The 27,230-nt window shown below is 50.5% G+C and overlaps 1 pseudogene, besides 2 other annotated features; it reads right to left on the bottom strand.

Moving 5' to 3' along the window:
* The window catches only part of LOC388996 (otopetrin 1 pseudogene), a 32,073-nt pseudogene extending 29,120 nt beyond the window's left edge, over window positions 1–2,953 (bottom strand).
* Window positions 15,923–16,839: an enhancer, noted in NCBI's record as "H3K4me1 hESC enhancer chr2:91763601-91764518 (GRCh37/hg19 assembly coordinates)". NCBI's record gives its function as "activates a minimal SCP1, AML or CMV promoter by ChIP-STARR-seq in naive H9 embryonic stem cells {active_cell/tissue: H9 hESC(naive)}" and the evidence as "EXISTENCE:reporter gene assay evidence [ECO:0000049][PMID:30033119]".
* Window positions 16,840–17,758: an enhancer, noted in NCBI's record as "H3K4me1 hESC enhancer chr2:91762682-91763600 (GRCh37/hg19 assembly coordinates)". NCBI's record gives its function as "activates a minimal SCP1, AML or CMV promoter by ChIP-STARR-seq in naive H9 embryonic stem cells {active_cell/tissue: H9 hESC(naive)}" and the evidence as "EXISTENCE:reporter gene assay evidence [ECO:0000049][PMID:30033119]".

Here is a 27,230-nt window from a genome sequence, read left to right as displayed (position 1 = left end):
GGATGAAGGAGGAGAAGAGAGAAAGAAAATGAGGAAAAAATAAGGAAAGGGAGGCTGGGCATGGTGACTCACACTGGTAATCCCATCACTTTGGGAGGCTGAGGCAGGCAGATCACGAGGTCAGGAGTTCGAGACCAGCCTGGCCAACATGATGAAACCCCGTCTCTACTAAAAATACAAAAAATAGCTGGGCATGGTTGCCAGCGCCTATAATCCCAGCTACTTGGGAGGCTGAGTCAGGAGAATCGTTTGAACCCGGGAGGCGGAGGTTGCAGTGAGCCGAGATCGCACCATTGCACTCCAGCCTGGGTGACAGGGCAAGACTCCATCTCAAAAAAAAGAAAAAAAGGAAGAAAAGGGAGAGAAAAGGGAAGGGGAGGGAATAGGGAGGGAGGGAAGAGGAAGAAAGGAAAGGAGAAAGAGGGAAGGAAGAAGGGAGAAAAAAGGATGGAGGAGAAAAAGAAGTGAGGAACAAAAAAGGGGGCTTTGACTGTAGGAAAACACAGGTAAAGGCTCATGTGTATAATACTTTTTAGCCTGTGTAAGTCAATATCCTAAAATAACACTTAGTGCCTTGTTTTAAATAGCACCAGATTCACTGTCATTCACAGAGTCACAAAACCATTAACTTCCCTAAAACAACCAATTTCAGAACAGGAATTTGGGCCACCCTGCAATGGTGTCAAATTTCCCCAAAAGCAAGATGAACTAGATCCAGTCCCTGAGCCTAAGAAGTCTAAAATCTCTTCTGGATGATAAGGCTAATATTCAACAGTCATAATACAAGGCAGAAACAGACAAGGACCAAAAGAGCTTTACAGAAGGAGGGCCATGGTGGCCCATGGAAGTGAGGAGTAATTCCTGCCAGGCATTTGTGAAGAAGGTGGCATCTGGCCAGGACCTTTGAAAGAAGTGCAGAAAGGAGGCCTAGTGTGTGCTGGGCAGCCACCTCATCAATCACTGGATCCTATCCAGTGTGAGATCCCCATTCTACAGATGCCGACACCAGGGTTCAGGGTAAGGAAGGCAATCAAGTAACTTGCCCGAGGTCATGCATGCAAGGAACACGGAAGCCCCACTCTAATGGAGATTTAAATTCAGGTCTAATATGAGAATGCAAGTGGCAATGTGTGATGTGTCTGGACCACGTGGTGTGAAATGCAGTCGGCTTCTCCTGGGAAGGTGACTCAGACAGAAGCTTTCTTCACAAGCATGCTCCCCACGGCCTCCTCCCTTTCACCTGCACCATGTCTGTCTCCCATTCAAGACTGGCAACCCCAGCCAGGCACAGTGGCTCATGCCTGTGATCCTATCATTTTGGGAGGCCAAGGCAGGAGGATCCCTTGAGGCCAGGAGTTTGAGAACAGGAGACAACACAACGAGGCTCTATCTGTACAAAATATAACAAAACTTAGCCAGGCAAGGCCATGTGTACCTATAGTTCCAGCTATTCAGGAGGCTGAAGTGGGAGGATTGCTTGAGCCCAGGAGGAAGAGGCTGTAGTGAGCTGTGACTGTGCCACTGCACTCCAGCCTGGGAGATAGAGCAACATTGTCTCAAAAAAAAAAAAAAAAAAAAAAAAAAAAAAAAAAAAAAAAAAGATGTGGCAGCCCCTTGAGAAAGGAAGAGCTCCTATCTTGACGATTTCAGCCAATGCCCGTGAGTACCAGCAGGAGCCTCTATCCCTCTCTGCCCCACCCTGTATCCACGCATTCATTACATCATTCATCCCCCCTCATTTTCTCAAAACCCACTTGTGCCCAGGCCCTGAGGTGGCTCTAGGACCGAGAGACAGGGATCACAGAGCTCCCCAGTGGAGTGGAGGGTACAGACATGTGGACAAGAACACTGGAACCCAGTGCGGGCTGGGAGCGTGCGGTCAGACCTGCAAAGCGGGGAAGAGAAGGGGGTCGGAGAAGCTTCGCGGGGAGAATGGGGTGAGGCCTGAGGCCTGTCTCGGAAAGCAGAGGGGCAGGTGGGAGAGTGGAAAAGACATTCCTGGAGGAGGGAACCAAAGGTGCTGAATGTGCAGAGGCAGAGATCCTGCGACGGGAGAGAAAGTCCTCGAGAATGACCCCAGCATAGGATGAGAACAAAGGAGGGGATCAAAGGAAACGGGCCCTCGGGGGCCGGGTGCTAGAAGGCTCTGAGTGTCAGGAGAGGGAACGTGACCTCCATCATGGGGTCAGTAGGGCCACTGTATGGCTTTAAGCCAGGGAAGGACAGGAGAGGTTTCTGTAACTGTGGCTGTAATGATGGAAGCGTCTGGAGGCGGAGAGGAGGCTCCCGCGGCGACCCAGGCTTCAGAGAGAGAGAGAGAGAGAGGAAAGAAGGAAGGGCAGATAGGAAAGCTAGGAAAGATGCACAGAGAGACCAAGGCAGAAAAGGCTGAAGGGAAGACGGCAGTGGTAGGAAGGGGGCAGAGCCGTCTCAGGATGCAGCCAGCAGGCAAGGAGGCAGAGACCCGCTTGCCCGGTGCCTGGACTCACCAGCCGGTGCAGCCAGCCGGCGCCGGCGTGCGTGTCCTTGAGGCGGAAGAGGCGGCGGTGCGCGGAGCTGCGGCCCACGTACCACAGCATCTGCAGCAGCATGAGCGCCGTCAGGAAGCACAGCAGGTCGCTCTTGCTCACGCCCGCGGCGTGCACGGCCCAGGCCAGCAGCAGCAGCAGCCCCGCCACGAACACGATCAGCCCATACTGGCTGCTCGGCATCTCGGCCAGCTTCTGTGGGACGCTGGCGCGCACACCGCCCCTCCGGGGGGCCGGGGACTCCGGGGACCTCGGGGCCGACGGCGAGGGAGGCGGGCAGGCCGCGGGCCCCGATGACCCCGCGACTGAGGCGCTCGCAGCTGCCCGGGGCCAGGCGGGCGACCCCAGGCCCTCAAGCATCTTCAAGACACCCGCGCCAAGTCTGGCCCCGGGGGTGGCTGCCGTCGGGCCCCGCCTGCGCTCCTGGCTCCTGTCCTTGCCCCGACGCCTCTGCCAACCAGCACCCCCCTTTTCAACTCCCCTCCGATTCCTACCCCACGCCCCCGACAACCTGCCCCGTCTCCTGTCACTTCCCGACGCCCGCCCTCCCCTCTTCTGCCCCTTCGTCCTCAGTCAAGGTACCACCCTGTCCACTTACCCAGCGCCCCACCCCGCTGACCCGGGATTCTAAGAGCTCCCTTGCCCACTGCCCCTCACTGGGCAACGCCCGGGGCAGCCATCTGTCCCCTCCGGGACCCACGCGGACCGCTCCCCCCTCCTGATCCCTGGGACACTGGCCAGCCCTGCCCCGACACTAGCGCGTCCTCCCGCACCTCCGCCCGCGCGCCCGGCCCCCGCCCACCGTCTGCAGCCCTCACCCCTGCGCCGACGCCCACCCACCCAGCCCCTGTCCGGGCGCCCCAGAAACGCTGGGTGACGAGAGATGCCTCCCAGAGTCCCGGGGTTGCGGGGCTGGGGAGAGGGGGTCTTCCAGAGCCAGCCCGAAGTGGGGTGTGCACGGGGGGCGTGGCTGCTGCCAAGTGGGGCGCACGGGGCTCCACAGGGGCGTGCGATGCTCCGGGCCTTCCCCGAGGGTCTCCGTTGGGGAACCCAGAGGTCCAGGTGATCCTGCCTGGGTCCGTGTCCGAGCGTCCGATGGTCTGTCCTTGTCCCTGCGTATTTCTGTATTGTCTTCTCTGTGCGGGTCACTCTGTGTCTGGCCGTCTGTTTTCGGGTGTGTCTGGTTAGGGGTGGAGGAGTGCCAGTCACTGGCTCTCTGAATTGGGGGAGGGGCCGCCTTCTGTGGGTTTTTCTGTTTGTCCATCTGGTGTGCCTGTGTGTCGGCTGCGAGATGCCCAGGCGCAGAATAAGACCTGAGCCACTTTCTAAGAAAAGAGACCATCCCGCACCCTCCCCCAAAGGAGCGGCAGCCATTCTGGACGCAGAGGAGCTGGAATGAGGGAGGCCCCAGGGTCTGCCCTGGGGCTACCGGCACCCAAGCATCTCCACCAGCCCCTTCCAAAGCCCCGGTGCCTGCCTTGCACCTGCCTGCTCCCGGAAGGAGACTGTGTCTGCCAGGGTGCCCTGCTTGGGTGCCATTAAGTGGAGGTCTGGGAAGTTTCTGCAGAAGAGCGTTCTACCGGTCGGGCGTGGCTGACAGGAGGCGGTGGACCCCAGCCCCCCAGCTGCAGGTTGGAGAGGGGAGTTGGGAGCGAGCCCCCATCCCACCATGCAGCAGCCCGGGGCTGGGCCCCGGAAGACACCCTCTCCCTCTTGGTTTAAGGCTCTTGCAGTCTTGAAATTCTTAATTTTTGAACAAGAAGGCCCAGGTTTTTGTTTTGTGCTAAGCGCAGCAAATTGCAATAGCAGGTCCTGACTAGTAAAGGAGGGGTGGGGAGTCCTGGGCCGGCAAGAAGTCAACCTGAGGGACCTTGCCTTGCCGCCATCATTCTTCCAATTCATGCATTCATTCATTTGATCAACACACATGTATGTGTTGACATGTGAATCATTTGCTGGTCTCTGTTGTAGGCGCTGGGGTTTCAGCTATGAAAGGCTCTGTTCAGGTGGAGCTGATGTTCAGGCAGAGAAACAGCAATAAACAAACAGCTAATGAGCCTTGACTGGGAAGCTGGGGAGCGTGACCTGTGAGACTTAGCCCTCAACTTCTAAGACCTTGGGGGTGGGGACAGAGTAAGCAGCACAGCACACTTGAGCAGGGCTACCACCAGGGGCCTGGGAGGAGCCCAGGTCTGCAGGAAGGCTGCGAGGTTCAGGGAGGAGGCAACACCTGCACAGTCTTCTTTCTTTCTTTATTTTATTTTTATCTTTTAATAAGGACAGGGCCTCCCTATGTCTCCCAGGCTGGAATGAAGTGGTGTGATAATAGCTCACTACAGCCTCGAACTCTGGGGCTCAAGTGCTCCTCCCACCTCAGCCTCCCGAATAGCTGGGACTACAGGTGTGTGCTACCACGCCTGGCTCATTTTTTTAAAATTGTTTTTTGTAGAGACAGGGGTCTCGCTGTGTTGCTCAGGTTGATCTCAAACTCCTGGGCTCAAGCCTTCCTCCTACCTCAGCCTCCCAAAGCACTGGGATTACAGGCTCCAGCTACCACGTCCAGCCTCCTGCACATTCTTTAGGCTTAGGAGTGGATGGCCAGGCGGAAGGGAGCAGGGGTCTGGAAAGGCAGTCCAGAGAGAGGATCCAGCAAACCTACTGGGAATCTTCCACCTTCTCCCCTCCTCTTCCTACCAACAGCCAGAGCAACCTGGGAGGCTGAGCTGAAGATGGAAGAGCCTGTCTGCGTGTCTCCCCAGTGACTAGTGAGGCGGCTTTTCCTCCCGAAGCTGGACCTTACATCAGTGAGAAATAAACTTCCATTGTGCTAAGCCACCAAAGTCTGAAATGTTACAGCAGCTAGCAGTACCTTAACCCATTGAGTACAAAGATAAATAACACTCAGTCACTATCTGAAAATCAAGTGGAATGCCTATCTCTGGGCTACCTGCACTTTTGTTTGTTTGTTTGTTTGTTTGTTTGTTTGTTTTTGAGATGGAGTCTCACTCTGTTACCCAGGCTGGAGTGCAGTGGCACAATCATCTCAGCTCACTGTAACCTCTGCCTCCTGAGTTCAAGCGATTCTCCTGCCTCAGCCTCCCGAGTAGCTGGGATTACAGGCGCCTGCCACCATGCCCGGCTAATTTCTGTATTTTTAGTAGAGATGCGGTTTCACCATGCTGGTTAGGCTGGTCTCAACTCCTGACCTGGTGATCCACCCCTTGGCCTCCCAAAGTGCTGGGATTACAGGCATGAGCCACCACACCTGGCCTGCATTTTTTTAAGAAGCAATGAAATGAAAGTTTCTGGAGGCTAAAGTCAGCCCCCTTTATTGTAATCTCAAGACAATGTTAAAACTCACTGAGAGCCTGTAATCCCAGCACTTTGGGAGGTCGAGGTAGATCACTTGAGGTCAGGAGTTCGAGACTAGCCTGGCCAACATGGTGAAACCCCGTCTCTACTAAAAATACAAAAAATAGCTGGTGTGGTGGTGCACACCTGTAATCCCAGCTACTTGGGAGGCTGAGGCAGGAGAATCTCTTGAACCCAGGAGGCAGAGGTTGCAGTGAGCCAAGATTGTGCCACTGGACTCCAACCTGGATGACAGAGTGAGACTCCATCTCAATAAATACATAAATAAAACTGAGAGATTTACCCACACTGTGTTCTGCCTTCCACAAGTGAGATTTTTTTCAAAAGTCTGAGCCACACGGGGCCCCCAATTTCTTACGACTGACCCCTGCTCCATGATGGGCAGATACAAGGGGTCAGAAATGGTGCTCTGGTGGTGCCCAGGCCTGCTGTTTTCACCACATTTGGTGCATGTTACCCCTGCCCACACTGTGTCCTGAGAACTGTGTGGCATGGCTCAATCAGTGTAAAAGCTGGAAACGTCCTGACCAGGCAGCTGCTTCCCAGTGATGATTCAGTACCACGCAGATGGACAGGGAGGCATGGTGCCCTCGGGCATGGACTCCCTTCTTTTCTTTTTTTTTTTTTAATACTTTAAGTTCTAGGGTACATGTGCACAACATGCAGGTTTGTTACATATGTATATATGTGCCATGGTGGTGTGCTGCACCCATTAATTCGTCATCTACATTAGGTATTTCTTTTAATGCTATCCCTCCCCCTTCCCCCCACCCCATGACAGGCCCCAGTGTGTGATGTTCCCCATCCTGTGTCCAAGTGTTCTCATTGTTCAATTCCCACCTATGAGTGAGAACATGCAGTGTTTGGTTTTGTGTCCTTGCGATAGTTTGCTCAGAATTATGGTTTCCAGTTTCATCCATGTCCCTACAAACGACATGAACTCATCCTTTTTATGGCTGCATAGTATTCCATGGTGTATATGTGCCATATTTTCTTAATCCAGTCTATCATTGATGGACATTTGGGTTGGTTCCAAGTCTTTGCTATTGTGAATAGTGCTGCCATAATCATACATGTGTATGTGTCTTTATAGTAGAATGATTTATAGTCCTTTGGGCATATACCCAGTAATGGGATCGCTGGGTCAAATGGTATTTCTAGTTCTAGATCCTTGAGGAATCACCACATGGTTTTCCACAATGGTTGAACTAGTTTACACTCCCACCAACAGTGTAAAAGCGTTCCTATTTCTCCACATCCTCTCCAGCACCTATTGTTTCCTTTTTAATGATCACATGAGCTCCCTTCTTCCAGTGAAGCTGACAGGATTTCACAAGGCCAGAGGCCCACTGGCACTCTCAACTGCCAGAGATAATAGAAGGTCCCAAGGGGCAATTAGCACATTTTGCCCCCAGTCACCTTTGGTGGTAGCTATGTAATCCCAGTATTTTTAAGAACAAAAGAGTTAGACAGTGTATTCACTTCTTTTTTTTTTTTTTTTTTTTTTTTGAGACAGAATCTTACTCTATCGCCCAGGCTGGAGTGCAGTGGTGTGATCTTGGCTCACTGCAACCTCTGCCTCCTGGGTTCCAGTGATTCTCCTGATTCAGTCTCCCGAGTAGCTGGGATTACAGGCACACACCACCATGCCTGGATAATTTTTTGTATTGTTAGTAGAGATGGGATTTCACCATGTTGGCCAGGTTGGTCTTGAACTCCTGACCTCATGATCCACCCACCTCGGCCTCCCAAAGTGCTGGGATTACAGGCATGAGTCACTGCGCACAGCCAAGTGGGTGGGTCTAACAAAGTGCCACTAACGGGGTGGCTTCAAAACAATGAAAATTTATTCTCTCACAGTTTGGGAGGCCAGCAGTCCAAAATCTAGATGTCAGAAGAGCCAAGTTCCCTCTGAAGGCTCCAATGGGGGGTCATCGCCAGCCTCTTCCAGTTTCTACTGGTTGCTGGCAACCCCTAGCATTCCTTGGCTTGTGGCTGTATCACTCCAATCTTTGCCTCTGTTGTCACTTGACCATCTTTCCTTTGTATCTGTGTCTCTTTTCCTCTTCTTATAAAGACACCAGTCATAATGGGTTAAGGGCCCAACCTACTCCAGTATGACTTCATTGTAATTTACATCTTAATTAAATCTACAAAGACTCCATTTCCAAATAGGGCCACAATCAGAGGTACCAGGGGTTAAGATTTCAACAGATCTTCTGGTGAGAAAAATTAAATCTATAACACACAAATGATAGTCAAGATATGGAATTAACCTGTGCATCCATCAATGGATGAATGAATGGACAAAGAAAATGTGTGTATGTATACACATTGTATACATACACAACAGAATATTATTCAACCTTAAAAAGAAGGAAATGGCCGGGCACAATGGCTCACGCTTGTAAACCCAACACTTTGGGAGGCCATGGTGGGTGGACTGCTTATGCCCAGGAGTTCAAGACCAACTGGGCAACATGGCAAAACCTCAACTCTACAAAAAAAAAAAAAAAAAAGGCTGAGTGTGGTGGCTCATGCCTGTAATCCCAGCACTTTGGGAGACTGAGGCAGGTGGATCACCTGAGGTCAGGAATTTGAGACCAGCCTGACCAACATGGAGAAACCCCTTCTCTACTAAAAATGCCTGTAATCCCAACTACTCAGGAGGCTGAGGCAGGATAATCACTTGAACCCAGGAGGCAGAGGTTGTGGGTGAGACAAGATCACACCATTGCACTCCAGCCTGGGCAACAAGAGTGAAACTCTCTCTCAAAAAAAAAAATTAGCTAAACCCAGTGGTGTGCACCTGTAGTCCCAGCTACTTGGGAGGCTGAGGTAGGAGGATCATTTGAGCCTGGGAGGTCCAGGTTTCAGTGAGCTGAGATTGTGCCACTGCACTCCAGCCTTGGTGACAGAGCCAGACCCTGTCTCAAAAAAGAAAAAAAAAAGGAAATCCTGACATTTGTAACAGTATGGCTATGAACCTGGAAGATACTATGTTAAGTGACATAAGCCAAGCACAGAAAGACAAATGTCACATGATCTCATTTATATGTAGATCTATAAAAGCTGAGGTCATATAGGTAGAGAGTAGAATAGTGGCTACCAGGGGCTGGGCAGCAGGTGGAATTTGGGGGTTGGGAGATGTTGGTCAAAGGGTACAAAATTTCATTTAAGTAAGAAGAGTAAGTTCAAGAGATCTATTGTACAGCTTAGTAATTATAGTTAATAACAATTTATAGCATTTTAAAAATTGTGAAGAGTAGATTTTAAGAAATCTCACCACAAAAAATAAGTATGCAAAGTAATGCATATATTAATGAACTCCATCTAGCCATTCCACATGTACCCTTGGACTTCAAAACTTGGAAAAAATGAATTGAAAATATAAACTTTATGTCTCAACATAAGCTCCATCAAGTTCAAGACACTTCTTCTATAAGTCATGCTACAGCCATTTAGCCCATCCCTAAGGAACTGAAGGTCCTGAGAATTTAACCATATCAATGCAGTCTTTTACACATTAACTGAAAAGAGTATCCTTTACAGATTAAGATTATGAAACAAAAAGAAGTTAGGAGGAGCCAAATCAGGACTGTAATGATTTCCCATCAAAATTCTCCCAAAATTGCCCTTGATGACAGGAATAACCAGAAGCATTGTCATGGTGGAGGAGGACTCTGCTGAAGTTTTCCCAAGAATTTTCTGCTAAAGCTTTGGGTAACTTTCTCAAAACCCTCTCATAATAAGCAGATGTTACCATTCTTTGGTCCTCCTGAAAGTCAACAAGGAAAGTGCCTTGAGCCCCAAAATACTGTTGCTATGAGTTGTGCTCTTGACTGGTCTGCTTTTGCTTTGACTGACCCACTTCCACTTCTTGGTAGCCATTGCTTTGATTGTGCTGTCTTCAGGATAGTACTACAAAATCCATGTTTCATAACTTGTTGCAACTTTTCGAACAAATGCTTCAGGATCTTGATCCCACTGTTTAAATTTCCATTGAAAGCTCTGCTGTTGTTTGCAACTGATCTGGGCACAACAGTTTTGGCACCCATCAAGTGCAAAGTTGGCTTTCAGTCAGAATTGTGTAACCTGAACCAATTTGACGTCTATGACACTGTCTATTGTTTCTGCTATTGTTAACTGCTATTAATCATCAGTCCTCTTTGATTAGGGCAAAAACAAGATGAATTTTTTCCTCAAAGATTCGTGTGTAGGGTCTCTCACTGAGGGCTTCCTCTTCAACATCATCTCATACCTTCTTAAAACAAGTTATTCATTTGTAAGCTGTTGATTTCTTTGGGGCATTGTTCCCATAAACTTTTCATGAAGCATTAGTGATTTTACCATTTTTCACCCAAGCTTCATAATAAATTGATGTTTGTTCTTGCTTCGATTTTAGCAGAATTAATGTTGCACTGATGTGGTCTCTTTTCAAACTGATGTCTTATCCTCCTTAGTGTCTCAAACTAGATCCTGTTCAGACATGTTATGACAAGTTAAAGACTCTGTCTCAAAAAGTCTTTTTTTTAAGTAATAGGACAATCTTCATACCGTCCTAATTGGCCAGTTATTAGCTCTTGGGAAACTGGGTTTTAACTAATTGTTTTAAACACATGCCAGCCTTAGATTTCTATCCAGGTTGTAAACATACTCTTCAAGAAAAAAAAAAGATATAAAATGTGTGAAGGCTGACACTGGGGTACTCTCCACCCAAGCTCCCTCCAGGGAGTGTGATCCAAATGCCCTCCCTTCCCGGGCTGCTGCCTCGGTTGTGCCGGACCCTCACATCACTGCCTGATTCATCACTGCCTGATTCGGCTGCCTGATTGTGGCCTTTGCCTGGCCTTGCTCCCTATTTTAAATGACACTCTCGCCACACCTTCACATACCCATGACAACAAACTGGGTTTACTTCTGTCTACTCATCATGCCTGACTTTCCCCTTTGCAAACATCATGACGGGATGTGATATTCCTGATCCTAGATTCTGCTTTCCCTTTCTTTCCCTCTCCATTACCATTTATTGAGTGGACACCTACTGTGTCAGGCACTGTAATTGGTGTTTTACAAACATTATTACTATTACCCACAACCCTACAAGACAGATATTGTTCCCACTTCACAGCTGAAAAAAGATTACAGGTTGACTACCCCTTCTCTGAAATGCTTGGGACCAGAAGTGTTTTGGATTTTGGAATATTTGCATTGTATTCCAAAACCCGAAATGCTCCAATGAGCATTTCCTTTGAGTGCCATATCAGCAATCAAAAAGTTTCAGATTTTGAAATTAGGGATACTAAACCTGTACTACTGAAGGTCTTGCAGCTAGTAAATGGCAGGGTATGATCTGAACCAGACACAAGTGGTGATTAAGTCAAATCATTACTAGAAGTCACCTTACAGAGAAAACAATCAACATGAGGTACATTCTGTCACAATGCTTATGCTGTTTAGATTTAATGTAGATATATTTGCATTTGAAAGTGCAAATACTGTCTTTATAAAGTCTTTGAAGAACAGAGTTAGCCCTTGTTATTTCTATGGTTAATTCAAAGTGCTAATAGCTAAAAACCAGAAGTCATTCCAAAGTTTGCATGAACAAAACTCACAAGAAAGTTATAAAAATATTTTATTTAAATGGTACAGAAAAAAAATATGTATACTTAAAAATGATTAAAACTTCACATTAGGAAATGCTAAAAACCCAGTAATTTACACAATGATAAAATCTAAAGTGATGGGAAAACATAAAATATTTTCATTTGGTCCTGTCACCTAACAAAACTATCATAAATATGAGATTATAGTAATTACTAAAGCTGGTTAAAGGCACATGACAACATAATTGCTTTATACATATCCAGTCATTTTATACAAGGAACTGATATCCCTTAAATGGAAGAGTGAACTATTTGTTTAAAATATTAAGAGTGCATCATGTACCTACAATGAAACCACTTTCTCCAAAGACTCAAACAGATTAACATTGCAAAATAGTATTTCTGTATCACTGACTTCTGAAAATTTTAATAATTTAAGAATATGCAAGTGAAATATAATTTATTCTGGTTTCAAAAATAGTTATACAAAGTCACAATTTTCCCCAGGAAACCATTCACTTCATAGTTGCAAAAACACACTGTAGCTTTTCTGTTAGGGTCTGCCATGCTTTCAGCTAGCTGGATGTTTAACCATTCAATTCAAATTTACGTGTCCAGCCATGCACGGTGGCGTGGGCCTGTAGTCCCAACTACTTCGAAGGCTGAGGCAGGAGGATCACTTGATCCCAGGAGTTCAAAGCCAGCCTGGACAACATAGAAGACCCTATCTCTTAAAAAAATAAAGTATATGTCCTTAAATCTGAAAGAAAACCAGCATTTATGTAACAAGTAAAACATTCTATCTTAAGCTATTGCATTTAACACTAAAAAGCATAGTTCACTCTGTGATCTACAACGTTGTCTGAGTCTCCATTACAATTATAAATTCATGTCAGAGTAAGAGCTCCCAAACATCTGTAAAAACTCAAAATTCAAGAGTCAAAGAAGGGGCTGAGCACATGAGAAGGGGAGAGATGGGTGACAGGGTCAGGTGAGGAAGTGTTCTGAGATGTGTAGGATTCCTCCGGGCCCAAAGCAGCTTGTGGCACCACATGCATACAGGAACGAAGGGCCTCCTGTGAGGGCTCCCAATGGTTCCAAGACACAGCAAGGTGCTTGAAGGAGGCTGGAGACATTGGCGTGGGCATGGAGGTGCTAGCAACTATTTTCAGACTGCTAACAATGAGACTATGTCCATTTCTTCTTTGTACAGTTACCATTGACCTTCCTTTAAAATCCCACAGGGAGAACATGCTGTTTTTAGCAGAAATGTCAGTTTTCATTAACTCCTTGAAAATTTAGTGTATTAACTTTCATTTCCATGAGCTTCAATTTCCACACCTGTCAACTGCTGTATAAAGCAGGTTTCCTGCAAGTTCTGATGTAAGTGACCTGACAGGAGGCACTATCTTTGTCCTTCTCAACATGCCTCTAAGCATCTGGAGTGAGTATTCTCAATATGCACTTATTTAATAACAGAGTTATCCGACACTCAGAAAACAGCCTCCACTGTGTAAGGCAGCAGATCTCAGGATGGGGTGATCTGTAGGGAGGCAGAAATTCTATAAATAACACCAAACAAAAGCTGATTGTGTCATCCAACACATTTTTATGAGGAAGTCAGAATAATTAGAAGATGGTAGAATTTTTTTTCCCAGTTGGGTAAAATTGTCCATTCTTCCTGTATTCCCATTTCTTAAGAATGATCTAGCCAACAGTCATTGAATATAAGCGGACACAAATTAATATAATTTCAACATAAAATGGTCTAATGTGTGAATTTAACTATATTGGAAGGTACAAATCCTGTCTTTATGAGGTCTTTGAAAGGCAGGGTACCTTCTCTAAAAAGTAGTCACTTAGAACCAACTTTTACAAAAGAAAGAGTCTCAGCCCCCAACCCCTGCCAGCCTGGGCAACATAAGGAGACTCTGTTTCTACAAAAAAATTTTTAAAAATTAGCCAAGCGTGATAGCACATGTTTGTAATACCAGCTCCTTGGGAAGCTAAGGTGGGAGGATCGCTTGAGCCCCCAGGTGGTCAAGGCTGCAGTGAGCTGTGATCATGCCACTGTACTCCAGCCTGGACAACAGAGTGAGACACTGTCTCAAAAAAAAGGAGTCTATCTCAGAGTTCAACGAATGGATAATTCTAGTGTGGACAACTCTGGTGTAAACATGACTGAAAATAATTCACAAATAGTCTGTTACAGCTCCATCCACTGAAAATTGTCATAAAAGACATTTTTTCAATGAGTTCATTTTTAGAAAAACCATTCCAGATATCTTACCTTCGGAAATCATCCAAGGAGTGTGATAAACATTACAACCCCCATAAACTGGGTAAACAACAACAATGGAGTGAAAAACGACCACACATGCCATAAAGCAATGTTGAAGCTGAAAAGAACAAGACATAAACAGTTGACAACTCAAATATGCATCAATATATTTTATTCTAGAATCCAGATTTAAAGTATTCAATGTAGAAAAGTTCATCCAGTCAGCAACCTTCTCCATGTATCATATTTCTCAGCTATGTGACTTAGCCAATGCTGGAAAGAAAACTCTAGATATACTTACACAAGTATCACAATTTCTTCAAGAAGGCCCTGGAACTGGAACCACTAAAGGTCTCCTAATAGGAGTTGACATGGCTTAATAGAAACTGAAGTCTCTTAGTTTCTGCACTTGAACAAGAATTTAAATGGCTACAGCCCATTTTTATGACATCACACACTAAACTATCATGGTAAAAAAGACCAAAGTATTTTCTCTTAAAAACAGAATGAAAACGGTTATCACTTATAAGCTGCTATTATATATTTCATTGAGAAAAACACTATTCCTGTCATCAAAGTAAAATTAAAACACTTTCTAAGTGTAAAGATTGTTAATGACTGAAATTTCTAAGAACAGAATAGGAAAAACTATATTCAAATAAGTTCAGATGGTTATTGGTTTTAACATATAATATTTTGATAAATATGAGTATTAAATAACTATAATCACGCTGTCTAAAAAATTAATATTTCTGGAGATGATCTTAGCCTTATGGGAAAAAGTAAAACAACATATCTGTATGCCCCCACATACAGGTTAACAATAACCACATCACACTGTCAAACACCCTTGAACTTCAACTACAGAAAATAAGTCATAGAAAGAATATGTATAAAGGTATATGGTTCTTCCAAAATAAAAATTCAATTAGGCCGGGGGTGGTGGTGCACGCCTGTAATCCAGCACTTTGGGAGGCCAACACAAGCAGATGGCTTGAGGCCAGGAGTTTGAGACCTGCCTGAGCAGCATGGCGAAACCCCATCTCTACAAAAAATACTAAAAATAGCCAGATGTGGTGGCACATGCCTGTGGTCCCAACTACTCGGGAGGCTGAGTGAGGTAGGAGGATCACTTAAGCCTGGGAAGTCGAGGCTTCAGTGAGCTGTGATCATGCCACTGCACTCCGGCCTGGGTGACACAGTGAGACCCTGTCTCAAAAAAAAAAAAAAAAAAAAAAAAATCCAATTGATATAAAGAAAGAAAAAACTAGAGAGCTACGCACAACATAGGAAAAGTAGTTTTCTTTCTGGTTGGATCATAGGATATATTTCCTTTGTGTTTTTCTGTAATTTACAGATTTTTTTTCCTCAGTGAGCAAGTATTACTTTTATAAACCGAAAAAAACCCTGTATTTTTCATCGAGTATTTAATTAACTTATGAAGAAAGTTATTCATTGTGGCATTGTTTGAGTATAAATATAACGAAGTCCAACAACAGAAGACAGGTTAAATAAATCATGTTATGTCCATGCTGTGAAAACTATGCAACTGTTTGAAAAAATGTGACACATCTATATGTACCATTATGGAAGAATCCCAAACTATAAGGATCCACTGAAAAACAAAAGGAAAAAAAGATGAACAACCACTTTGGAAAGCAGTTTGGCATGATTTACTGAAGTCAAAGGTATGTACATCCAACAATTTTACCCCTTGGGGTGTATATATATATACACACACACACACACACACACACACACACACATATACGTACATCTCTACACCCAACAGAAATGTGTTCACTGTGCTACAAGAGCTATGTACAAGAATGCTCTTTATAGCATCCTTCATAGTAACCCCAAACTGAAAAAAATCTAAACACAATCAACAGTGGAAAAGAAAACTGGGATTCAATTAAACAATGGAATGCTAAAGAGCAATGAAGATGAGTCACTGTTCCCGGCTACAATATGAAACAACTGCACACAATGCTGCACACAGCCAGCTCAATGTGAAGGAATACACCCTGTATGAATCCATTTCTATAAAGTTCAAAAGCACAGCTGAAACAAAAATAGAATATCTAATGGAAGCAAAGCAAGTAGTTACCATGAAGGTCAGGGCAGTATTTACCTGTGGCAGGAGGGATGGTGCAGTAACTGGGAGGGAGAATGAAGGGGGTTCCGAATGTACTGGCTCAGTTTACACCAATGCTCACTTCATGAAAATTCATTCATTTCAGTTTTTTCCACTTTTCTATATGTATCGTACGTCATAATAAAATAGACTTAAAAAGCAAAATGCAGAATATGTACAGAATGTCACCATCTGTGCTTTAAATAACTAGATCCATAAATAGAAGGAGAAAGAGATACGAATGAAAAGGGAACCAGAGAGCATGAATGACCAGGAGACTATTTTTCTGTTTTAACTTTTTTACTTTCGAAGTTTGGACCAAGTATATCACTATCTGATCAGGAGGTGGGGGGCGTTGTCAGCCCAAGCAGCTGCCACCGTGAGCAGTGGACACAGGACCAGCTTCTGGGGATGATCCTGTCCTCTCCTAGCAAAGCCCCGTGCATGGACAGGGCATCCATGCCATCCATGTCACCCAGGGCAGGTCACTGAGCCTCCCGCAGCCCATTTCCCCGAGTCGCCCAGGCGCGGTGGAGCACATGCAGCACAGTTGTTTTAGGAATTGGATGACTCACTGAGCTCCTGACAAGTAGTAGGCTCGGCACGTGGCTGTGGCACTTTTTCTAACTGCCTGGGTTCCATCTCAACTCCCAGAGAGTGAACATCCCGCCTCTCTTCTCAGGACTGGTGCTCTCCGAAGCATTAAGTAGGAAATTGAGAGTAGTAGCAAGTGAGACTTAGGGGGCAGGTAGGCAGAAATCAGTGATGGCATAGCCGCGCCACCATGACCATCCTGGCCATTGTCTCCTGTGTCTCCTGCTCCTCGAGGTCTTCAAAGTCTCATGCTGCCTTCTCCAGCAGCTGCTCTCTGTGATGGGAGGGTGGGCACAGGGTGGGTTTGTGGGTGATTCTGCTGAAGCCAGGGAGATGACGTCTGTCCAAGGACCCTCAGCCTGGAGCCCAGGCTCCAGGAAGCTCTGTGGGGGACAGCTGACATCACTGGGCATCTCCTTTCTGTCTGCTCTGCTCACAGAAACCTGCAGGACACTGCCCATAAGGTGAAGTGAGCAAAGAGGCCAGGCCAGTCCTTCCCAGCCCCATGGAAGCCAGTTCAGCAGGACCCTACATGGATGGGCTTCTGCAACTGTGAGCAAAGGGGGCCCATCAGGCTGTGCCCAGCCCCTAGGACACACAAGGGAAGAGCTTCTTCCCAATACCTGCCACCTGCTGCCTCTGCACAGCCGTGGTGTGCACACTGCTGCAGGGAGCAGGCACCCTCATCCCTGTGGCCCATCTCCCCCTTCTTGTCCTCATTCTGAGGCCATAGAAAACTGGCCTGCAGCATCCTCACCCTCAACCTTGCCCTGCTGGGAAAACTTAGGCCCTCAACTAAACTCGGGCCCCTGGACGCACTCGCTCGGCCGCAGTTCTCAATCTTCCCTCTGCCTGGAAGGCCCTGTCGTGTGTTTCACACTTGCTAAGCAGAGTCCCCTCTGAACTCAGCCCCCTGGATCCAGCCCAGCCCTCCTGGATCCACTTGCCAGAGCAGCCCCGGACCCCGCCAGCCCCTCCCACTGACTCCAGTGCAGGTCAGTGAAGGTGACTATGACAGCTCTGGTAATCCTGGAAGAACCCCCAGGATTGAACACAGCTCTTGGGCTCTGATTACAGCCAATTACCATAATGGAGAGAATATCTGGATTCTCCCCTAATTTCCTCTCCTCTTAAAATTTTCAATTAAGAGCCTAATCTTGATGGAAAATGGCTGCTTTCTGGAGTATTCTCCGCAGTGCTGATTCCTCATTGCTAAGTGCTTTTTCTAGACAGATAGAGGCTCTCGATGATTCCAGATAAAATCAGAGCAAAGGAGCTTACCCAAAGAAAGGAGGAGAGCAGAGCAGCAATAGGCTATACCCCGGAGCCCTCCCCGCTGCTGGAGACACCAGGTGGGTGAGGGGGTCTCTTGGGCCCTTCCAGCCTGCAGAGCTGCTGAGAGTCAGGCCTGGCTGCCAGCAAAGCAGCTGAAGTCTTGAGAAAACTTCCTGATTGCATTAGCGAGGTCGCAACACCAGGACATAATCAAATCTCCCTGGAGGACGTGGCTTCAGGAAGGGCTGCTACAAGCCAGTGGCAGAACAAGGGCAACCAGGGTCAGACACGGTGGAAGGAGGGAAGTCCCAGAGCCGAGCATGGGTGGACATCAGAGGGGTGTGGGCTGCACCATCTGGGTGCAGGGGCCAGCAGGCAGTGCGGGTCCACCCAGCCCAGGGCCAGCCTTTCCCAGCAGTCGCGTGCAGAAACCTGGCACACGTCATGGGGCAGCGGTCCCATATCATAGGCCCTCCTGGTGTTAGCAGTCAGGAGGGTGCCTAGAAAAGCCTCCCACAGCCACAGGGACAGCAGGATCTGAGCCCACCCTCCACACCAGGAGCCTGCCCAGCACCATAGGCAGGGCCCGGGTGCCCTGCTCAGGAATGAGCTCTGCTTCCAGCTTGGCCATCCTAGTTCCACCCTGTCTGTAACTTAGCTGACCAGGAAGATGGCTGTGATGACCACAGAAAATCCCGACACAGAGCTGGCATGAAGGAGCTGTGCCTGTGGAAGCTTCAGAGTCCTCAGGCCAGGCTGGCCCTGGCTCTGCCACCTCTTGGCTGGAATGCCTTCAGGCACCTACTGAGCCTCTCAGGGGCTCAGCATCCTCATCTGTGGTACACGGATAATAATAGGGTTGTTTTGAGAGTAAAAGCACAAAACACAGAGCCTGGCTGGAGAAAGCACAGGTAGCTGAAGTCAGCCAAGGCTGAGTTAAGTGTTCTTCTTAGAAAAACGGACAGGCCATTCCCTGAAGGCATCAGTGCGGGCAGGAGGGAACCTGCACTTTGCAGTTCCAACACCTCAGGACACAATTCCTGCTAACCTGACCCACAAAAGACCAAAGGACACACCCAAGATCCTGGACCAACGTCCCACAACGATGCCTCCTGGTTTCTTCTCTAAGAATATGTCTTAAAATGTTCCCTAGGAAGCTAACTCTATATTCCTAATGTATGGACCATGGAAAGAAAACAAGTGTCTCAGTAGGTTTGTTCAACAAATGTGCAAATGCAGAGATGAACAAAGATGCCCAAAGTCAAGGAGCAGCTCAGTTGCCTCCGACATGCTCGGGGGCCACATCCACCTCCAACCTCTGCCCTGTTCACACTTTCCTCCACCCAGATTCCCCTCTTGCCCTGGCACTCCAGGAATTGTTTGATGTCCTGGAAGCTCCCTTTCTCTGTTCCATAGCCCCTGAGGCTGGTACCTCCCTGCATGCGTGTCCACCTCACCCACTGAGTTCCAGGAGCAGGTGTCTATCCTGCTCGCCCTGACTCAGCAGGGAGGGCTGAGCTCTGGAGCCTGAGTGCACCCAGACCTGCCCCATGGCCTCCTGTGCCTCTGTGTCCTCCTCACCCTCGACTCACCAAGGAGCCCTGAGGACGTGAGAACTGGAACATGCCCAAGACCCACATCGGGGCCTGGCACACACCAAGCGCCTAGTGAACGCTTGATGACTGAGGACAGCATCGCTTCTTCTAAGAGGGGAAAAAAAGGAAAGTCAACCAGAGACAATTTGTAAAAGATGGCTTTTGACTGAGGCCTTGAAGGATGGGCAAGGATGGGCAAGGGGAGGGGGGACTCAAAGTGCAGGATGAGAAGGCTCTAGGTGCCTGAGTGCCTGTGCATGTGAGCATGCATGTGCATGTGTGTGCATGTGTGTGTGTGCATGAGACTTGCAGCCTTGCATGTGTGTGTGCATATGCATATGTGTGTTCATATGCACATGCATGTGTGTGTGCCCTAGTCCAGACAGGGTTCTGAGTGCACTGTGGGGGACAGATGATTTCACACTCCGCCCTGAGTCTGAAATCAGTGGGACAGATGACCTTGAAGAAGGCCTTATGGCTCACTTAGTGTGAGCCAGACTTCATAGAGACAGTGACGGCAGGACACATGCATGGGGGTCCACCTTCCCAGAGCTGGAGCCCACATAGCTCCAGGACCTCAAGGGAAGCCCAGGGTCTGAGGGGCCCAGGAGGCCCATCCATGGGATGGACCCAAGGAGACTTTGGTGGCTTCTCTGTTAAGATTTGAAGGGGGCCAGGTGTGGTGGCTCACGCCTGTAATCCCAGCACTTTGGGAGGCTGCAGCAGGGGGATCACGAGGTCAGGAGTTCAAGACCAGCCTGGCCAACATAGTGAAACCCCATCTCTACTAAAAATACAAAAATAAAAATAAAAAATTAGCCGGGTGTGGTGGTGGGTGCCTGTAGTCCCAGCAGTTTGGGAGGCTGAGGCAGGAGAATCGCTTGAACCCAGGAGGCAGAGATTGCAGTGAGCTGAGATTGTACCACTGCACTGCAGCCTGGGAGACAGAGCAGGACTCTGTCTCAAAAAAAAAAAAAAAAAAAAAGATTTGAAGGGAGCCCAGGGGGCAGGACTGGGTGGGCACAGGATGGAGACAGTGACACCCTTGGTCTTGGGTGGCCCCTGCCAGCCCCAGCATATCCTCAGCAGATAGGGTGACAACAGCGCCTCTACCTCTAGCGGGAGGCGCAAGAGAAATTCACGCGATGCACTTGCCTGGGCTTGGTGAGTGGAAAGCTCCCCACTGACTCGAGGGCTGGTGGTGAGGATGGAGAGGGAGGTGGAGATGGAGGCGACAGCATGGGCAGAGCAAGAGCACAGCTGTGGAAGGGAGGTCCTCCCAGCTAGTCTCAGCCACCCTGGGTTCTTACCCTTTCACAGCTGGGGAGTGGAGCCTGGGCCTGCGCCTCTCCGCGCCAGAGCCGGCGCCAGCGCCTCTCCGCGCCTCGCCGCCGCTGTCTGCCTCTCCGCCACTGTCCGTCTCTCCGCCGCGCCGCCGCTGTCCGCCTCTCCGCCGCTGGCCGCCTCTCCGCTGCGCTGCCGCTGTCTGCCTCTCCGCCGCTGTCCGTCTCTCCGCCGCGCCGCCGCGCCGCCGCTGTCCGTCTCTCCGCCGCGCCGCCGCTGTCCGCCGCGCCGCCGCTGGCCGCCTCTCCGCCGCTGTCCGCCTCTCCGCCGCGCCGCCGCTGGCCGCCTCTCCGCCGCTGTCCGCCTCTCCGCCTCGCCGGCGCCAGCGCTGTGTGCCTTTGCGAGGGCGGAGCTGCGTTCTCCTCAGCACAGACCCGGAGAGCATTGCGAGGGCGGAGCTGAGTTCTCCTCTGCACAGACTTCGGAGATACAGCGAAGGCAGAGCAATGTTCTCCTCAGCAGAGACCCGGGCGGGCGGGCCGGTGGCACCGCGAGGGCGGAGCTGCGTTCTGCTCTGCACAGACCTTGGGGGCACTGCCTCGCTTTGGGACAACTCGGGGCCGCATGGACGGTGAATAAAATCCTTCCTGTTTGCAGCCCTGTTTGTGGTTGGTGGCAGCGATGGACACTGCAGCCAGCCAGAGCGTAGAAAGGCGTCGGGGTAAGTGCGCTATCCAGGCTGCACTGTGGGTGGCCTGGGACGGGTTGGGAGCCCTATCTCAGGCGTCACTGCCCGTCTTGGGTGGCCGGTTGGGTGTGCTATCTGGGGCTGTGCTGCCTGCACCGGGCGGGTGGGGGGGTGGTTTGGGGGCCAAACCGGGGCTGCACTGCCTTTGGTGGGGAGCCGGTTGGGGGCACTATCCCAGACTGTATTGCTGGCAACAGTGAGGTGGGCTAAGTGTGCTATCCGGGGCTGCACTGTGCGGCTGTCGGGGGGGTGGCGGTTTCGGGTTGAGGGCGCTATGGGGTGCTGTAATGCCCATGGTGTGGGGAGGCGGGGCAGTTTGGGTATGTTGGGTGTGCTATTGGGGGGGTGACACTGCTGGTGGTAGGGGGCAGGGTGGGTTGGGGGCCATATCAGGGGCTGCACTGATGGCTTTAGCTAGGATTTCTGGTACTATGTTAAACAACAGTGGTGACAGGGGGCATCCTTATCATGTTCCAGATCTTAGAGGAAAAGCTTTCCATTTTTCCCCATTCCATATGATTCTAGCTGTGGGTGTCTTTCCTGTAGTTTTTATTATGTTGCGGTATGTTTCTTCTGTGCCCGTTTCTTTGAGGATTTATAGCATGAAGGGATGTTGAATTTCATCAAATGCTTTTTCGGTTTCAGTTGACGTGATGATACTGTTTTTGTCGTTTATTTGGTTGATATGATGTATCACATTGTATGTTGAGTGACCCTTGGGTCCCAGGGATACATCCCACTTGATCATGATGAATTATCTTTTTAATGTATTACTGAATTTGATTCACTGGTATTTTGTTGAGGATTTTTGCATCCATATTAGAGATCCTGGCCTGTAGTTTCCTTCTTTGATGCTTTTGTCTGATTTTGGTATCACAGTAATAATGGTCTCATAGAATAAGTTTGGAAGTATTCCCTCCTGTTTTTCAAAATAGTTTGAGCAGGATTCGTACTAGGTCTTTAAATTGTTTGGTGTGAAGCCATCAGCAGTGAAGACATCAGTTCCTGGGCTTTTCTTTACTGGGAGACTTTTTCTGATGGCTTCAATCTCATTACTTGTTACCAATCTGTTCTGGTCTTGGATGTTTTCATTGTTTAACCTAAGTAGGTTGTATGCATCTAGGAATTTGCCAATTTCTACTAGGCTTTCCAATTTATTGGCATATAGTAGCCAGTTATGATCCTTTGAATTTCTGAAGTATTAGTTGTAATGTCTCCTTTTTTAATCTGTTGATTTTATTTATTTGAATCTTGTCTCTTTTCTTAGCCTGGTTAAAAGTTTGTCAATTTTGTTTAGCTTTCCAGAAAACCAACTTTTCATTTAATCTTGTATGTTTTTTATTTCAATTTTGTTTGTGCTATGATCTTATTTATTTTCTTATTTTCGGTTTAGTTTGTTCTTTACTAGTTCTTTAAGATGTATTATTTGAAGGTTTTCTTTTGTTTGGATGGTAGGCACTTATAGCTGTAAATCTCTGCCTTTGTACTGCTTTCTGCATAACAAGTTTTGGTATACTGTGTTTTCATTACCCTTTGTTTCATGAAATTTTTGAATTTCTGTCTTAGTATCTTCATTGACCCGCTAGTCATTTATTCAGGAGGGTAGTGTTTAACTTCCATGTGATTGTATTGTTTCCAAAATTGCTTTTCTTATTGATACCTAGTTTTATTCCTTTGTAGTGAAAGAAGATGGCCACGGAGACAGACAGCAGCGTGGTCAGAGTGGTAGGAGCTGACCATCAGCGAGAGCTGCTCCATGCCTGGCTGCTGGGTCCTAGAGCCTGTGGCCCACTGGCTTGCCTCACTGTGGTTGGTGGTGGTGGTGACAGAGACTGCAGGACGACCAGATGGTAGGACAGGGGCTATCCAGGGCTGCACCTTTTGCAGTGTGGGGTGGGTTGAGGGCGCTATCCAGGGTGTCATTGCCTGCATTAGGGGTACTGGTTGGTAGCACTGTACAGGGCTGCACTGCCCACGGCAGGGAGGGTGGGTTATGGGTGCTTTCTGGGGCTTCAATGCCCATGGAGGAGGACAGGTTAGGGCACTATCGGTTATACGCTACTGGCGGCATTGGGGGATGGAGGTGGGGGGCGCTATTGAGGGCAGGACTAGCAGTGGAGCGGGGGCGAGTTCGGTGCTATCAGGGGCTGCACTGCTGGTGTCGGTCAACAGAGTTGGCATCCCAGGAAGGAGTGGTTCTCCTCTCCCTGACTCCACACTCCAGAGGGCGACCCACTCTTGGTCATACTGGAGTGCAGCAGGGCACGCAGCGTTTGCGTGGGAATCCTGAGCATGGCAGAGCCCCCACACCCACCGTGGTTCCTGGGCCTGTGTACTGTGGGTCTGTGCCTCAGAGGCTTCCAGGCACCCCTGGGGACACCACGGGGGACAGGGCCCTGTGCGTGGAGGCGTCCGGAACAGGAATTGGCACCTGGGTGCGGAGGGCTGGCTGGGTCTGAATTTTTCTGCTTCTCCTGCTCCCCGAGGAGTGCAGCCCCAGTGGGCCCAATGGTTCCTGTGGAGTGGGGAGCTGGGTGCTGTGGTGTCTCCAGCACCCACCCCAGACCCCAGTTCCTGCCCAGCTTGGGCCAAAAGGAGAGGCTGGACTTTGGAGGGTGGGTGTGAGTGCCTTTGCTGAAACTGGCCCCTGCCACCCAGTGGCCGGCATGACAAGTTGAGGCTCTAACCCTTCCACCCCTCACATCTTTCTCTAGGCTTTTCCGGCTTTGCCCGCCCAGCTGCTCTGTGCCAGGAAGAGGAGGAGACACCTAGAGCCTGCGACACCATGGCTCGCCTCGCTGCGGGTGGGCGGCAGTGACGTAGCCTGCAGTGCGCCAGAGTGGTAGGAGAGCGGCTGCACTAGGAGGGCAGGCGGCTGCAGCCAGGGTTGGGGGTCAGGCTTAGAGCGATGGACGGGCTGCAGCAGTGGCCAGGTGGTAGGAGCCTTGTAGGGAGGGCTGGTGCATTGGCAATGGGCCTGGCTTTGCCCTGCGCCTGCCGTGGATCTGGCCCTGTACTGCCCTGCCTTGCCCTGTACCTGCCCTACTGTTACTTGGACTCTCGGCCCTGTCCTGCTCTGGTCCCATCCTGACCCTGTCTTGGCCCTGTGCTACCCTGTCCCTGCCCTGGTCTTGCCCTGGCACTGGCCCTGCCCTGAACCTGCACTGGCCTGACCTTGGCTCTGGCCCTGGCTCTGGCCCTGCCTCTTGTCCTGATCCTGGTCGTGTCATGGCACTGGCCCTGCCAATGGTCATGGTCCTGCTCCTGTTCTGGCCCTGACCTGGCCTTGGACATGTCCTGGCCCTGCTTTGGCCCATCCCTGCCCTGGCCCCACCATGGGCCTGCCTGTTCTGCCCTCTCCTGGCACTGACCTTGCCCTGTCATGGCCCAGTGGTGCCATTGCCCTGCCTTACCCTGCGCTGGTTGTGACTTGGCCCCGCTTGGTGCTGGCCGCTCCCTGGACCTGCCCTGGACCTGCCCTGACCCTGCCCTTGGCTTTTGCCCTGCCCTCACTATGGCCTGGCCCTGGCCCTAGCCCTGGTCCTGCCATATCCCTGGCCCTGCCCTTATCCAGGCCCTGCCCCTGCTGCTGCCCTGGCCCTGGCCTGGAACCTGGTCCTGTCAAGGACCTGCCCTGACTCTGCCATGGCCCTGGCCCTGCTCTGCCTTGTTCCTGGCCCTGACCCAGACCCAGACCCTTTCCTGGCTCTGCACTGGACTTTCCCTGGCCCTGAGCTGGCAATGGTCTGCCCCTGGTCTTGCCATCACCCTGCCCTGCTGCGCTCTGGATGTGTCATCACTCTGCCCTGGCCCTACTCTGCCTTTGACCCTGCCCTGGCCTTACCTTGGCCCTCACCCTAGTCTTCGCTAGACCCTGCTCTGGAGCTGGCCCTAGCACAGACCTGGCCCTGATCCTGGCCGTGGTCTTTGTCCTGCCATAGCCCTGGCCCTGAAGTGGACTTGGAGGTGTCCTGGCCCCGGCATAACATGGCTCTGCATTGGCCTGTCCCTGCCCTGCCGCTACCATCTCCTTGCCCTGCTCTGTCCTGTCCCAGCACTGTCCCGGCCGTGCTATTTCCCTTCCCTACCCTGCCTTGGCTGTGCCCTGGCTCGGTTCTGGCCCTGGCCCCGGCCCTGCCCTGGACATGCTCTGACACTGCCTCAGCCTCGGCACTAGCCTGGCTCTTTCTTGACATCAGCTCTGCTCTCTCTGTGGACCGGCTCTTGTCCTGTCCTACACTGGCCATACCATGCCCTGCCCTGCCCTGCCCTGACTCAGTCCTGGCTCAGCCCTGGCCCAACCTTGGCCTTGGCATTGCCCCTGGTCATGCCATATTTCTTGCCCTGTCCCTACCCTGGCCTTGGCCCTGACCCTTACCTTGCTGTGGCCCTGCCCTTGCCCTAACGCAGCCCCTGGTCCTGTCATGGCCCTGCCCTGGACCTGTCCTGGCCCTGGCCCTTCCCTGCTTGAGAACTTGCCCTGGTTCTCCCCTGGCCCTGACCCTGAAATGCCTGGCCCTACCCTGGCCTTGCACTGCTCTGGCCTTTGCCCTGACTCTGGTCCTGTCACTGGCCTAGCCCCAGCCCTGTTGCTGGTCTTACCATGGCCCAGACCCTGCCTTGGCCCTGCCCTGACACTGTCCTGGACCCTGGCTGTGCCAAGAACCTGCACTGTCCTTGCCATTGTTTTGCTCCTGCCCCGAACCTGGTCTTCCCCAGGCCGTGGCCATGGCCCTGGCCCTGGCCCTGCCCAGGTCTTGGCACTGTCCTGGCCCCGCCCTGCCCTGGCCCTATGCTTTTCTGGCCCTGCCTTGCCGGCCCTGGCCCTGCCTTGGCCCTAGCCTGGCTTTGACCCTGCCCTGGCCCTACCTTGGCCTTCACCCTAGCCTTACCTGGGCACTGTGTTGGACCTGGCCATAGCACAGACCTGGTTGTGGCCCTGGTCCTGCCGTGGCCCTGTCTCAGACCCTAGCCCTGCCAGGTACCTGTCCTGGCCCAGCTCTGGGCCTGGCTTTGTCCCTGGTTCTTAGATGAACCTGGTCCTGCTCCTGCCCTTGCTCTTGCCCTGGCACTGGCCTTGGACATGTCCATGGTCCTAACCCTGGCCCTGCCCAGGAGCTGCCACTGTCTTGGCTGTGCCCTGGCTCTGGCCCTGCCCCGGCCCCAACCATAGACCTGCCCTGGTTGGTCGTGAACTACCTTAACCCTGTGCTACCCTGGGCCTGCTCCACCCTGCCCTGGCCCTGCCCTCCCTTTGGCCCTGCCCTGACCCTGCCTTGGCCCTCACACTGACCCTAGCACAGACCTGGTCCTATGTGTGGCCTTGGCCTGGCATTGACCCCTGCTCCTGACCCCGGTCCTGCCATGGCCCTGGCCCTGCCAATGACCCTGGCAGCCCTGACCCTGGCCCTGTCTTGGCCCTGGCCCTGAACTGGCCCTGCCCTGACCCTGGCCCTGAAGTGGATTTGCAGGTGTCTTGTCCCTGATGTAACCTGGTCTTACCATGGCCCTGTCCCTCCCCTGGCTCTGTCCTGGCCTTCTGCTGACCCTGACCCAGACCTTGGCCCTGCCCCAGCCTTGTCCTAGATCTGGCCATGGCCCTGCGTCTGCCCTGGACCAGCGCTGGCACTGGCATGGACCCTGGCCCTGGCCCTTCGCTACTTAAGGCCATACCCTGGCCCAGCCCTGGTCCTGACCCTGTCCTGGCCCTAATTTGGCCTGGCTCTACCCTGGCATGCTATTCTGGCCCTAGCCCTGACCCTGTCCCTGTCCCTGTCCTGGCCCCAGCCCCATTGCTGGTCCTGCCACGG

This window comes from Homo sapiens, chromosome 2 (genome assembly GCF_000001405.40).
Source record: "Homo sapiens chromosome 2, GRCh38.p14 Primary Assembly".
NCBI classification, from domain to species: domain Eukaryota; kingdom Metazoa; phylum Chordata; class Mammalia; order Primates; family Hominidae; genus Homo; species Homo sapiens.
The sequence above is the reverse complement of the archived record's forward strand: the minus strand, read 5'-3'. Positions and strand labels throughout refer to the sequence as shown.